The 13,585-nt window shown below is 36.9% G+C and overlaps 1 protein-coding gene across 4 annotated transcripts in view; it reads right to left on the bottom strand.

Moving 5' to 3' along the window:
• COG3 (component of oligomeric golgi complex 3) overlaps positions 1-13,585 on the bottom strand; it is a 71,763-nt gene that overhangs the window by 33,773 nt on the left and 24,405 nt on the right. For 3 of the 4 annotated variants that reach the window (XR_429222.5, NM_031431.4, XM_047430702.1), the window contains exons 9-13: positions 11,971-12,014; positions 11,391-11,517; positions 10,679-10,770; positions 9,443-9,582; positions 6,617-6,777 (exon numbers count right to left, since the gene is read on the bottom strand). Coding sequence is in view for 2 of the 4 variants with exons in the window: in NM_031431.4 (NP_113619.3) it covers positions 6,617-6,777; positions 9,443-9,582; positions 10,679-10,770; positions 11,391-11,517; positions 11,971-12,014 (564 nt within the window). In the remaining 2 variants the exon portion in view is untranslated. The remainder of the gene's footprint in view (positions 1-6,616; positions 6,778-9,442; positions 9,583-10,678; positions 10,771-11,390; positions 11,518-11,970; positions 12,015-13,585) is intronic. The other variant, XR_007063702.1, reaches the window with a different exon arrangement.

Genomic DNA, 13,585 nt, shown 5'->3' with positions numbered 1-13,585 from the left:
TAGTAATGAAAATCCCACTAATTTGCATTAATTATAAAGGTGGAAATACACAGAAATGAAGACCTAACAGTCATTTAGTTACTGTCAAAAAGAATGGCCAGTCATAAAAATGAGACAATGGACTTTGGGAATTCCGGGGCAAAGACTGGGAGGCAGGTAAGGCATAAAAGACTCCATATTGGGTACAGTGTACACTGTTTGGGTGACAGGTGCACTAAAGTCTCAGAAATCACCACTAAACAACTTATCCATGTAACCAAAAATCACCTGTACCCAAAAAACTATTGAAATTAAAAAAAAAAATTAATAGCCAGAGAATTGATTAGGAAACAGACTCCCTACCACATAGGCCAGTCCACTCATTCCACGTGCAGAAATTGGAAAGTACAGCTAATTCCTAAACGGCATGCAGATGTCACAGCCAGACCACTCTTATACCCCAGTCCCTCACCAAAAGAAAATCACAGTAAGCATATTTACTGCAAGTGGTTACCCTTAAGCCAAAAGGTCTACTACACAAGGGAGCATCCAGGATACAGGCCATGTAATGACTGAATAAACATACCAAATATACCACTAAATTACACTGGGAAGGGAGCATATAGAAAACTTTATCACCTAACATCCTATCAGACACAGCAATTAAAACAGGCATTCTTATCTATAATACAAAAACTGATACTCCTAATGAAGGCCAGGACGGGAGGAAAAGGAGGGAGCACCATTCACTAGATCAGGCTGGGAAACAGATCTAGTCTTCATCATACCTGCTTTGTGGCCCTCAAAGTCAAGGCAGCTCCTGCAAATGGACCACCCATCTGCTCCCTGTTGTTATCCGCAATACCAAGACACATAAAGATAATTCCAGCTATGGACCACAGAAAAGAAACAGCCCCCACTGCCTGCCCTACAAGGGGATCTGATCCCTGCAAGGTTGATTCTGTATATTATTTAAAAAGTAACAACATATAAATAATTAATATAACTAGCCAAAATGCAGTAAGTTTAAATAGAAGTCAGAGGAAGAGATGTAAGTTTAGGAGAACATCCTCAAAACAGGTAAGAACATATTTCCAGCCTGTTAACTTTAAAACGAACATACCTATTATTACATATTTATCCACCTAGGCATTGAAATGAATTAGGTTAAGTCAAAATGCTGGTGAGGATTTGGAGCAACAGGAATGATCTAGTACACACACATATTTCTATGCCAGCACCTGAGAGAGCTTAAAAGCAACAATACCCCTGTAGCAACGAGCACACCTAATGCCCAGATCTCTTTCTAATACAATCCTTCAATAAAGGAACCAGCACTCCTTGAAGAAATGGTCGATTCTAGGAGAGAAGCAGGAAATATACTGATGCACCTGAAGTTCTTATAGTGCCAGGAAATAAGAAAGTTCTCAAAATAAAAAATCTACATAAATGAGTATGTCAAAAGGACATAGGAGCCAACTGAAAGAGCTCCCAGTGGTGAAAGCTGGAGCAGCAAAATAAAGTACCAGTGAACTATAACCCAAAGTATGAATAAATATCCGTTAAGTCCACACTGACATCAGTAAGTGATTGAATCAACAAATTGGAAAAAGAGACCAAGTCCACACTGACATCAGTAAGTGATTGAATCAACAAACTGGAAAAAGAGACCAATCTCCCTTACAGAGAAGTTCCAAGTATTTACATAGATACTTTGCCCTCAAAAAAGGTAGAGCACAACCCACTCCTTGAGCATGGGTTACACATGGGACTTCCTTCCAAAGAGTACAGTGTGGAAAGTGGGGAAGAGGAGTAACTGCACGGTGGTGAAACCTGACAACACTACTTCAGCCAGATGGTCAAGTTCAATATCAACAGTGAACATTCATGTTGAAAGGCTGTACCCTTAATATGATGTAATAACAATGGCATTTTACACCACTGTGGTTTTCCTCCCCAAAACCCAAAACACTAGTCTAATCATAAGGATAACATCAGACGAATTCCAACAAAGGGGCATTGTATAAAAAGCTTGAAATACTCATGACAACACTATAAACCAGTCCTCAACACTGCTAAGTCATCGAAAACAAGAAAAGTCTGAAAAACTGTCACAGACAAAAGGAGCCTAAAAAGACATAAAAACTAAGTGCAACGTGGTGTTGTAAATGGGATCCTGGAATAGAAAAAGACATGAAAAACACTAAGAAAATCTGAATAAACTATGGACCTTAGTAAATAAATACCAGTGACTCACTACTGGTTCATTAATTGTGGCAAATGTATCATACCAACAGAAGATCTTGGTAATAGGAGCAACTGGGTGCAGGGTATATAAAAACTCTGTACCACCTTCTCAATTTTTCTGTAAATCTCAAACTATCTTACAATACAAAGTCTACTTTAAAAATAAAAATAAAAGAAATTAGGACATTTGACATCCAAGAAAAGCAGTCTAAATAGAAACAGGATAGTATCTGAGCCACATCTGACAACTTTAACAACACAGATTGGCACTTTGTGACAAAAGATATGCTGATGAATACAGGATACACTTAGAAAGAAATTATCTTTAATCTATTTTCCACAGATATTTAGGTCTACAGCACTCCTTATATAAACTAATTAAGCAAGATTAGTGTTTAGACCTGGCAAAAATTAGATTACATTTTTAAAAAATTTAATAGCTTACAGATTTCTCAAGATTATATTTTTTTAAAACACGTTAGAAACATGATGACTTAGCAAAATTATTTCAAGGGACATTTTTTAAATTCACCAGCACCAAAACTGCCTTTGGAATTTTTCAAATAAAATAATCAGGCCTCTTTTTTATATATATATATATATATATACACACACACACACACACACACACACACTCACACACACACACACACACACACACATACATATATATATATTTTTTTTTAAGGCAGTGTCTCACTCTGTGACCCAGGCTGGAGTACAGTGGCACAATGACAGCTCACCCCAGCCTCCATCTCCCGGGCTCAGGTGATCCTCCCACCTCTGCCTCCCGAGTAGCTAGGACTACAGCCGCCACCATGCCTGCCTCATTTTTGTATTTTTTGTAGAGATGGGGTTTCACTGTGTTGTGCAGGCTGGTCTTGAACTACTGGGCTCAAGTGATTCGCCCACCTTGGCCTCCCACAGTGCTAGTATTACAGGCGCAAGCCACCGTGCCTGGCCAAGACTATTTTTAAAAAGTCAAATATTCTGTTTTTCAATATTTCAAGGGTTAAATAAATTACAACAGCCACTGTCTCTCATATGACTACCAGCATTAAGTGCTTTCTGGGTCATTATCTTTACTCTTACAACAATACTCCAAGGTCAGTATTATGCCTGTTTTACAAATAATTAAACATACTAATAAAAAATAAGAAAGAGCTACTAACTGGGCTGGGATTTGAACCCAGGTCTATCTCACTCTTACATTTCCCCCTATGCCATGCAAATGGCAAACTTACATGGGCAAAAATCTCTAAAGAGATTTGAAATCTGCAGATCTATATTTAGAATCAAACGTCTGACAGCAATCTCATTGTATATCTTAGTAGGATATATTCTAAGAACAAAAGTAGTATAAAAATCTTGAATTAAGTTTGCTATTAATCATGGCATTAGTGTTATAATTCTGAAACTATTTGTGTATGTTGTAACTTGAAGCAAATGAGTAAATACATTAGAGGTGCTAGGAGCCAGGGTTTCTTCTGTGAGACTGGAAACATGAATACGAGATATGGGAAAAGGAAGAACCCTGTGGAACTGGATCTGAACTGGAGATTTCAGTATGAACTCATGATATTTTAAAATGTATATTTTCTAGCTCTTTAAAGAGGGCTAGAAGTAATCCACCACTAGAAATGAGCACACCTAATACTCAGATCTTGGTTTCTAAATACCACCCTCTTTCCCCTTAAGGAACCAAGGGTTCCTGGAGAAAGAGCTGACCGTAGGTCTGGAGCAAGGAATGTGAAACATTCCTGGAGCAAGGAAAAGGTGAACGCCTGTATCATCTTGTGCAAGAAAACAAAGGACTCTAGATTGACCAAGAAAAAAAGAAAGAAGATTCAAATTATTAGAATCATATGGCATTGCAAGGAGCCCAAAATAGCCAAAACAATTTGAAAAAAAAAAAAAAAGAACAAAATAGCAAAACTGCTTCCCAAGTACAAAATTTATTACAAAACAACTGTAATCCAGACAGTCTGGTGCTAGCACAGGATAAGACATAAAGATGAATGGAATAAACTTGAGAGTCCAAAAACAAAACAAAACAAAACAAAAAAACCATTAATCTATGGTCAACTGATTTTCAACAAGGGTGCCAAGACCATCCAATAGACAAATAATAGCCTTTTCAATAAATGATGCTGGAACAACTGGATAGCCACATGCAGAAGAATGAAACTGGACCCCTACTTCACATCAAGAAATTGTTTCACATACAATTTCTTGAAATCGCTTGAACCCGGGAGGCAGAAGTTGCAGTAAGCCAAGATGGCGCCACTGCACTCCAGCCTGGGTGAAAAGAGTGAAACTATGTCTCAAAAAAAAAAAAAAAAAAAAGACATCTGAAGGACAAATGGGGAAATTTCAATATGGACTATATATAAATAATATTATTGAATTAATGTTAATTTCCTTAAATACAAAAATGATACTGTGGTTATATGAACAATTGTCTTTATTCTTACGAGAATAAGAACTGAAGTACTTAGGAATGAGGAGTCATGATGTCTGCAACTTTCAAATGGCTCAGCCACACACACACACAAAGAGATAAAGTAAATGGGATGAAATATTAACAACTGGTGAATCTGAAAAATAAGTTCTAGATACTTGATGATATTAAGGAACTACACTGTTTTTAGGTGTGATAATTATATTATGGTTGTGTTAAAAATAAAAATGCCCTTAACTTTTTAGAGTTACCTACTGAAAGTTTCTTTTTAATTCTGTTATTGTTGTTTTGCTTATTTAACCTCTTGACTTGATATCTTTACTCATTGGTTTCTGCTACTTAGAAGGAGTAACCCAGAATCTATTAAACTTCAGGAGTGTAAAGTTATATTCCGTCCTGCTTAGCCTTGAGTGGTCATACTTTGTTGTTGTTGTTGTTGTTGTTGTTGTTGTTGTTGAGACAGGGTCTGGCTCTGTCACCCAGGCTGGAGTGCAATGGCGTGATCTCGGCTCCCTGAAACCTCCACCTCCCGGGCTCAAGTAATCTTCCCATCTCAACCTCCTGAGTAGCTGGGATCACAGGAGCACACCATCACACCTGGTGAATTTTTGTATTTTTAGTAGAGATGGGGTTTCTTGCCATGTTGCCCAGGCTGGTCTTGAACTCCTGAGATTAAGTGATCCTCCCGCCTCGGCCTCTCAAAGTGCTGTGATTACAGGCATGAGCCACCATTCCCAGCCTGAAGTATTTACTAATTGAAATCATGTTTGGAATTTGCTTTAAAATAATTAATGGGGGTGAAAGGGAGTACAAAAAGTCTAGCCATGTTGAAGCTGAGGTAATGGTACCTAAGAGTTCATCATATTACAGTTTCTACTTTTGCTTATATTTGAAAATTTCCATTTAAGAAGTTCTAATTCTGTTTCAGCACTAATATCTTAGGCATTATTTAAAGTCTGTCCAGAACTCAAAGAAAATGAAGACATATATGGAACTGAAAGATCAGGAAGATAAACCCAAGTCTTCAAACCATAAACTGGACACTTGTACGGTATAATTTTGAGGAGACGGCCTCCAGGGTTTTTATGAGAGAGCATGACACACGGTTACATCATCACCATCAACCTGGTGGCTTCTACATTATCAACCTTCTTCTATTTCTAAAGAGAAATCACAGGGATCACTAACTCAATTTTAAAATTGAGAACGTGTATTTCCTGCCAATGGGAAGAGAATGGAATAGAATGTTTATAAAACATAACTTGAAGGGGCCGGGTGCGGTGGCTCACGCCAGTAATCCCAGCACCTTGGGAGGCCGAGGCGGGCGGATCACGAGGTCAGGGGATTGAGACCATCCTGGCTAACACGGTGAAACCCCATCTCTACTAAAAATATAAAAAATTAGCCGGGTGTGGTGGCGGGCGCCTGTAGTCCCAGCTTCTCGGGAGGCTGAGGCAGGAGAATGGCGCGAACCCGTGAGGCAGAAGTTGCAGTGAGCCGAGATCACACCACTGTACTCCAGCCTGGGCGACAGAGCAAGACTCCATCTCAAAAAAACAAAAAAAACAAAAAAACATAACTTGAAGGAAAGACAACCTAACAAACTATTTTTAATTCTTTTAAATTTTATCTCCTTTAATTTTTATAGCAAACTTATCTTGATTTTACATTTTGAGGAAGAATTAAAAAGAAAAATCCCATTTTAACTAGTAAAAAACATCTAGGCTAGGCACAGTGGCTCACGCCTGTAATCCCAGCACTTGGGAGGCCGAGGCAGGTGGATCACTTGAGCTCAGGAGTTCGAGACCAGCCTGGGCAACAAGGGGAAACCCTGTCTCTATTTTAATATATAAATTTTTAAAAAAATAATAAATAAAACATCTAAAAGCTGTGTGGGGGCAGACGGGAGATCAAGTAAGGAGATCCTACCTCCATCATGACTAACTTATCGGGATATGCCAGATCTCCAGGAGCTGGTTTATAGCCCGTGATGTCCGTCTGAATATAGATGTGGGTTCGGTAGACGAGCCGCTCCTGTACATCTTCTAACATCTGCTTGACTCCAGCTGCAAATGCCCCCAGTTGCTCAGCTGATAAAAAAGTGCAATCATCCATTCTTTTAGATTTAGAAAAACACTTTCTTTTAAACAAGCAAAGATGTTACTAAATTGTTCAGAAACAGTATGAACCACTTTTGCTTCAGAGGCTGTGATTGTATTCTATTTCAGCATGACTCAATGAGCTTGGAAAAGTTTAATAAATGTCTTTCAATTTCCTCAACTTTAAAACTGGGCAGTACTCTGTTTAATTATATTATTAATATGAATAATAAAATCTGAATTTTAAGAGTGCTTTGCTCTTTAAAAGTTATTTCATATAGCTTCAGACCAAGCCTAAGAAATTGCTAAGGTAGCTTATTAACTGGGCTATCATCATCCCCATTTTACAAATAAATTGAGTACCACAGATATTGAATGACTTGTTAACATTTTCACAGAGAAAAGTAAAAAGTAAAATAAAGTATGAGTTTACTTAGTATTTCTTTATTTCTAAGATGCCATCAGCAAGGCGCAGTGGCTCACACCTATAATCCCAGCATTTTGGGAGGCTGAGGCAGGCAGATCACTGGAGCCCAGGAGTTCAAGATCAGCCAACCTGAGCAACATGGCAAAACTCCATCTCCATAAAAATACAAAAAATTAGCCAGGCGTGGTGGTGTGCATCTGTAATCTCACCTACTTGGGAGGCTGAGCTGGGAATCACCTGAGCCCGGGAAGTTGAGGCTGCAGTGAGCTGTGATCATGCCACTGCACTCCAGCCTGGGCAATAGAGTAAGACCCTGTCTCAAAAATAATAAATAAATAAAAAAGATGCCATCAATGTTAAGACACACTAGTAATCCTGTAACAGCTTTCCAAAAGACAGGGGGTTAAAGATAACACATAATCACATTAGGCGAGGCATGGTGGCTCATGCCTGTAATCCCAGCACTTTGGGAGGCGCAGATAGGATGATCACTTGAGTCCAGGAGTTCAAGCCCAGCCTAGGCAACACAGTGAGACCCTATCTCTATTTAAAAAAAAAAAAAAAAAAAAAGAGGCCAGGCGTGGTGGCTCATGGCTGTAATCCCAGCACTTTGGGAGGCCGAGGCGGGCAGATCATGAGGTCAAGAGATCGAGACCATCCTGGCCAACACGGTGAAACCCCATCTCTACTAAAAATACAAAAATTAGTTGGGCATGGTGGTGCATACCTGTAGTCCCAGCTACTCGGGAGGCTGAGGCAGGAGAATCACTTGAACCCGGCAAGCAGAGGCTGCAGTGAGCCGAGATCGCGCCACTGCACAGAGCGAGACTCCGTCTCAAAAAAAAAAAAAAGAAAAGAGAAAAAAAGAAAAAAAAAATCACATTAATTTTGGCCAGGTACAGTGGCCCACACCTGTAATCCCAGCACTTTGGGAGGCCAAGGAGGGCAGACTGCTTGAGTCCAGGAGCTCAAGACCGGCCTGGGCAACATGGCAAAACCCCCTCTCTACAAAAGAAATATAAAAATAGCTGGGCATGGTGGCATGCACCTGTAGTCTCAGCTCCTCAAGAGACTGAGGTGGGAGATCACTTGACCCCGGGAGGCAGAGGTTGTAGTGAGCCGAGATGGTGCCACTGCACTCCAGCCTGGATGACAAGAGTGAGACCCCCAACTCAAAAACCAAAACAAAACAAAAAAACCATATGAATTTTAAAATCAGAAGCAATAAAAAATTTAGAAGCAGTAAAATGTGAGAAAATGAATGAGTTAAATGCAATTGAGTAACTTTGGAAGAGTAACAAATTAGTGTCTCAATGAAAGCCAAACTGAGGACAATAAATTCTGTGAGTAGAATAATTACTTGAAAGGTTGTTTTTTTTTTTTTTTTTTTAAGACAGAGTCTTGCTGTTGTTGCCTGGGCTGGGGTGTAATGGCGCAATCTCGGCTCACTGCAACCTCCCCCTCCCAGGTTCCAGCAATTCTCCTGCCTAAGCCTCCCGAGTAGTTGAGATTATAGGCGCCTGCCACCAGGCCTGGCTAATTTTTGTATTTTTAGTAGAGACGGGGTTTCACCATGTTGGCCAGGCTGTTCTTGAACTCCTGACCTCAGGTGATCCACCCACCTCGGCTTCCCAAAGTGCTGGGATTACAGGCATGAGCCACCATGCCCGGCCTAAAGGGTATTTTTTAAAGGTACCTAGGTACTATTAGGAAAATCATGTTCTCTATGACAATCAAATCAAATACTGAAGAATGTATCAGATGGACAAAGTAGAGCTATTCCAGAGAACCGCTTTTCTTTATTTGTAATTTCAAAACAGATCAACTATTATTATGAATATACACAAAACAATTCCTGTTTTTTAATCAAAAGTATACAATATATTCAATTATTTATTTATGTATTTTGTATTCTGGTAACAGTGTGCTAGAAATGCCTAACCCAAAAGTAACGATGTGTTCTATCTGGATTCCAGATGCCAGAAAGAAAACTGACTATAATTATTTTATTACTAATTTTACCCAGATTTTAAGATTCTTTCCCTATCTGATTGTGTCTTTAGTGACAGAATAAGGTGCAACTTCATTCAAGAAGGGGTAAGGCATCAAGCCAAGCTTCAAAAATATTAAATTTATCTATTTAGTGGGGTGAGGGAAGAAGCACTTATTTTTTTTTCAAATTCATTGAGCCAGTGATATAACTTAAAATGATCATTTCTACTCATTTACCATTGTTCTGCACATGATCTTCAAGCACCTCATTTTTAAGAATCCCACAAAGTTCCGACAGAGTCTCTAAGTGAATAACATGAATGATCAATGGCCTGAAGACATCATACAATGACACACACAGTTTCTCCAAAAGCTCACTAAAATGAAAGAATAAAAATGTCTATTAGTAGTAGTTTTTTCAGGATTTTGTAATAATTTAGAAATCCTCATTGATTTCTTCCAGTCAATAAGAACAATAAGTATCTACTGGAAAATAGTATCTGAGGACATTATAGAATGATAAGGGAAAAGCTGAAAGTAATTCTATAAACAGTTTTTGCTTTAAAAGCTCAGAATCAAGCAATCCACAGCAGTCAATTCAAAGTAGCTGCCCCCAAACAAAAGTCAACCTATTACAACTTTTATCTATTTCAGCAATAATTTTCTATATGTCCTTTCAAAAACAATAAAAAGTATTTCAGAGGACTTAATTACCTTTTATATTCTACTTCACTATCAATCAAATGGTAACTTTTTCCCCGAGGAAAGACAAGTTTAAAATTATTGAATACTTATAGATTTAGATAAACAAAATTCAAAGTACTTTGGTCATACGCCAAGTATTTTGAGAAATTTTAAACATTTAAAAAGAAAAACTTAAGTTGTCTATATGCTTCATACTGTCAATGGTACTCTTCTACACAGAATTTCATCAAAAGTGATCACTTCAACTAAAACCATAAAATACTTTTCTCTTCCTCATTACAAGAGTCATGAGCTTGGAATGTTTGTAAGAGTCAAAAGAGTGAACATTAAGAAACCAAAAGTGACTAACAGTGGATCTGAAAGACATTTTGAGAAAAATAAAGAAAAGGTTATTAAATAGTATCTGTATTTTTAAATCTTTCATTAGTTAGAATCATAGAATTTTTTAACTAGAAGGAATTATTGTACTTAGTGGAGATAAAGGGATCTAGATCCCGAGGCTACAGAATTCTGTATAGATTTCTTCCTATCACACCATAATATCTAAATAATTACATTACAAACAATACAAAAGCATGTTAAGTTGCACATTTAAGAAAATAACTTTTAAGAAAATATCTGTCCCACCCAACAATATTCTGTTCACAGACACAAACAAGTTAAAACATTCTCCAGTTAATGATAGAATACTCCTATAATATACTGATTCATTATGGTCATTAGCAAGTTAAATTTTATGAACAAGAGTTAGATTCCATGTCCACCTACTCTAATTTTGATGTTGGTTTTGTGAAAAATTCATTGTAAAGTTGGTGTTCATCCTGGCAGACATGAACCATGAAGGCACAGCCACTACGAACCTGCAGTAAACAAACACACACCACCTACAGTTAAAGACACACAACATTTCTGATGTTTATGAAATAAAGCCTACACTTTATGTGCAGAGATAACACATACACACTCTTAAAACAACTTACTGAAGAACGGAAAATGGTTGGTTTTCGATAGATGACTGCATAATGAGATTATAGGTGACTTTTAGTTTCTTAATGCTTTAGTTTCTAAACTTCTCATAATAAACACAAATTACTTTTCTAGTTCAAAAGCATTTCAAAAAAGAGCGCTTATGCATTTTTTATAGTAAAAAAATTTATAGTATGAATAAAATTACACTAAACAAAAAAGCACTTCTGCAGCAAAAGCTAAATTGTTAATATAAATCTACAAACTTTGAAATCTCATTTTTCAAGAACAATATTTATTTGTGAATCTTCTTATCTCAAAAAATAAGTAAAAAATGAGAATATTTTGCAAAGGTGAATAAGGCTAATTACCAAACTAGATTTGTCATAATGAAAAACATGCTTTTTCAGTTAACTATGGGCCCCAAATCTTATTTAACCAGGTATAGTTTCTAGGATATCAACATAACTCAAGAGGAAGATTTAACATTAAACCAAAACAAGTAGAAACTTACCAAGGCACAGTGATCTCTATTATTTTGGCTGGTTAACTCTGCAACAGTGCAAGCAATACTAGGGCCCAAAAGGAGCTCCCGCTGATCAAGGTAACACTGGTGGATATCATTTAGCAGTTGTTGGTATCTGACAGAAAGCAAATGAGATTAAACTTTTCATTTCAGATATGTAAACTAAATTTCATCTTAAATCCCAGTGTAGGTTGCCAAACCTCTTTTAAAGCTATAACGGTCACCTCTCATTTGCCCACATTAACTATTTAATACTAGAAATACAGACACAAAACAAAAGCAAACCATAATGAACTGTGATGCCATAAGCTTTATCTTTTAAAGAAAGCTTTCTTTTCCAAGTATAGTGACCCCACATCTGCCCAAATAAGAAGCAAATCCTAGTATGGGAAAAACTGCTGTCATGTAAACTGGCTAAGTCTGTGACCTTGCTCCCCAAAATAAGTGGTATGTTACAAGAACAAGCTGGAAGGCAATTGCTCATAAAATATCAGAGATCCAGATTTGGAAAAACAGTACTACAAGACAAAGGTTCATGTGGAAATCAGATTAACTTCTAGGTACTCACTCAGGTATTTTTTCAGACCGCAGTTCTATTTGTTCAATAAGAGTCTGCAAAGTAAGAAAAAATGCATCAAAAAACCATCTCTGTTATATTATCCATTACTTTCTGATTATAATATTAATTGTATCACATATTCAGAAAAACTGTAAATATAAGAAAGTTAAAAATCATAAAAATCACTTATACCAAAAATTCACCACAGCATTTCAGTATATTTTCTTTCAGTTTTTTTATATCCACAGTTCCTATATTTTTCTTTTTAAGTAAAACTGTAATTATACTACATATTCTGCTTTATAATCTGTTTTTTAAAAATTAACATTATTTCATAAACATTTTCCTATGATTAAATACTTTTCAATACTAGATAAAAATGTATAGAAGGCCTTAGCATAGTACCTGGTACCTAGTCAACACTCAATGAATCATTGTAAGCATGATTTAAAGCATTATGCTAAAAGGCTACATAATATCCCATTTCTACTGATATCTAGGTTGTTTCTGAAGAATCAGAGCCCATTTGTGAAGAGCCTTGAGTGAAACTAGAGGGTTCCAGCACCCGCTCCTTAGTAGCTGTTTGAGCCCAGGCAAGCTGGTTCACTTCTGAGATTCCACTCCCTACTGTATAAAACTGGTGTAATAACACCTACCTCCCAGGTGGGGACCCCAAAACACCAGGTCAAAAGAGGTATGTATTTTTATGGGTTTTTGGTCTATTCTTCTAAAATGTTTTTTAGAAAATAATCCAATTACATTCCTATCAGCAGTACTGCCTGTCTCATAAATCCTCAGAAGCACTGACCTTAATCTGCCAATTTATGACAGACAAAAGTCACCCAGCCTTAACTTGCATATAGTTTCCACTAAGTGAATATATTCACTTAGAATATATTATTTTGGTAATGTTATAGAGTAAAAAGCTTACTATTTTTTCAAATATTTAGCAAATCTTCCCAATACCGTGTAGAAAACTCCAGTCCTTCCTATTTGGGATGTTTCTTAATATATTAAGTACCACAACTTTCCATTCCAATCTGTCAGTGAATGCTTGAATCAATGACACTGTATTTTTCAAAATTTTCTTCTTTAGTCTTGCCTATTTACCAGATCAAGTTTAGAATCATGCAAAAAAAAAAAAAAAATCCATTGGAATTTTTGCTAGGAGTACATTCTAACCAACAAATTACTCTGGGAGAAAGTGACATTTTAAAAATTAAATCACCCCAACCAGGAAGAAGATGGGCTTACCATTTACTCAGTCTTTTATAATTTTCTGTCTAGTTTTGTCATTTTCTTCATCCTTATGTTTGTTAAGGTTACTGCTAGGTAAGTATTTTATGCTTTTTGTCACTGATATAAATGGGACCCCATCACATATATTAATTTGTTACTAATGGTATGTAGGAAAGCCACTGATAACTATATAATCATTTTATAATTACCCACCACACTGAGCCCTCTTATCTATACCTTTTCTTTTCTAATCAAATTTTTATCATTAGTATTTGGCTAATAAGCAAAAGCAATCAATCAGGCACAATCTAAATCTTCATGCCATAAACTGACATCCAGTTAGACATCTGTTAGACATCTAGGTTGTATACATATTCCACATATA

This window comes from Homo sapiens, chromosome 13, assembly GCF_000001405.40.
Source record: "Homo sapiens chromosome 13, GRCh38.p14 Primary Assembly".
Classification (NCBI taxonomy): Eukaryota; Metazoa; Chordata; class Mammalia; order Primates; family Hominidae; genus Homo; species Homo sapiens.
This window is presented reverse-complemented; position numbering and strand designations above follow the sequence as displayed.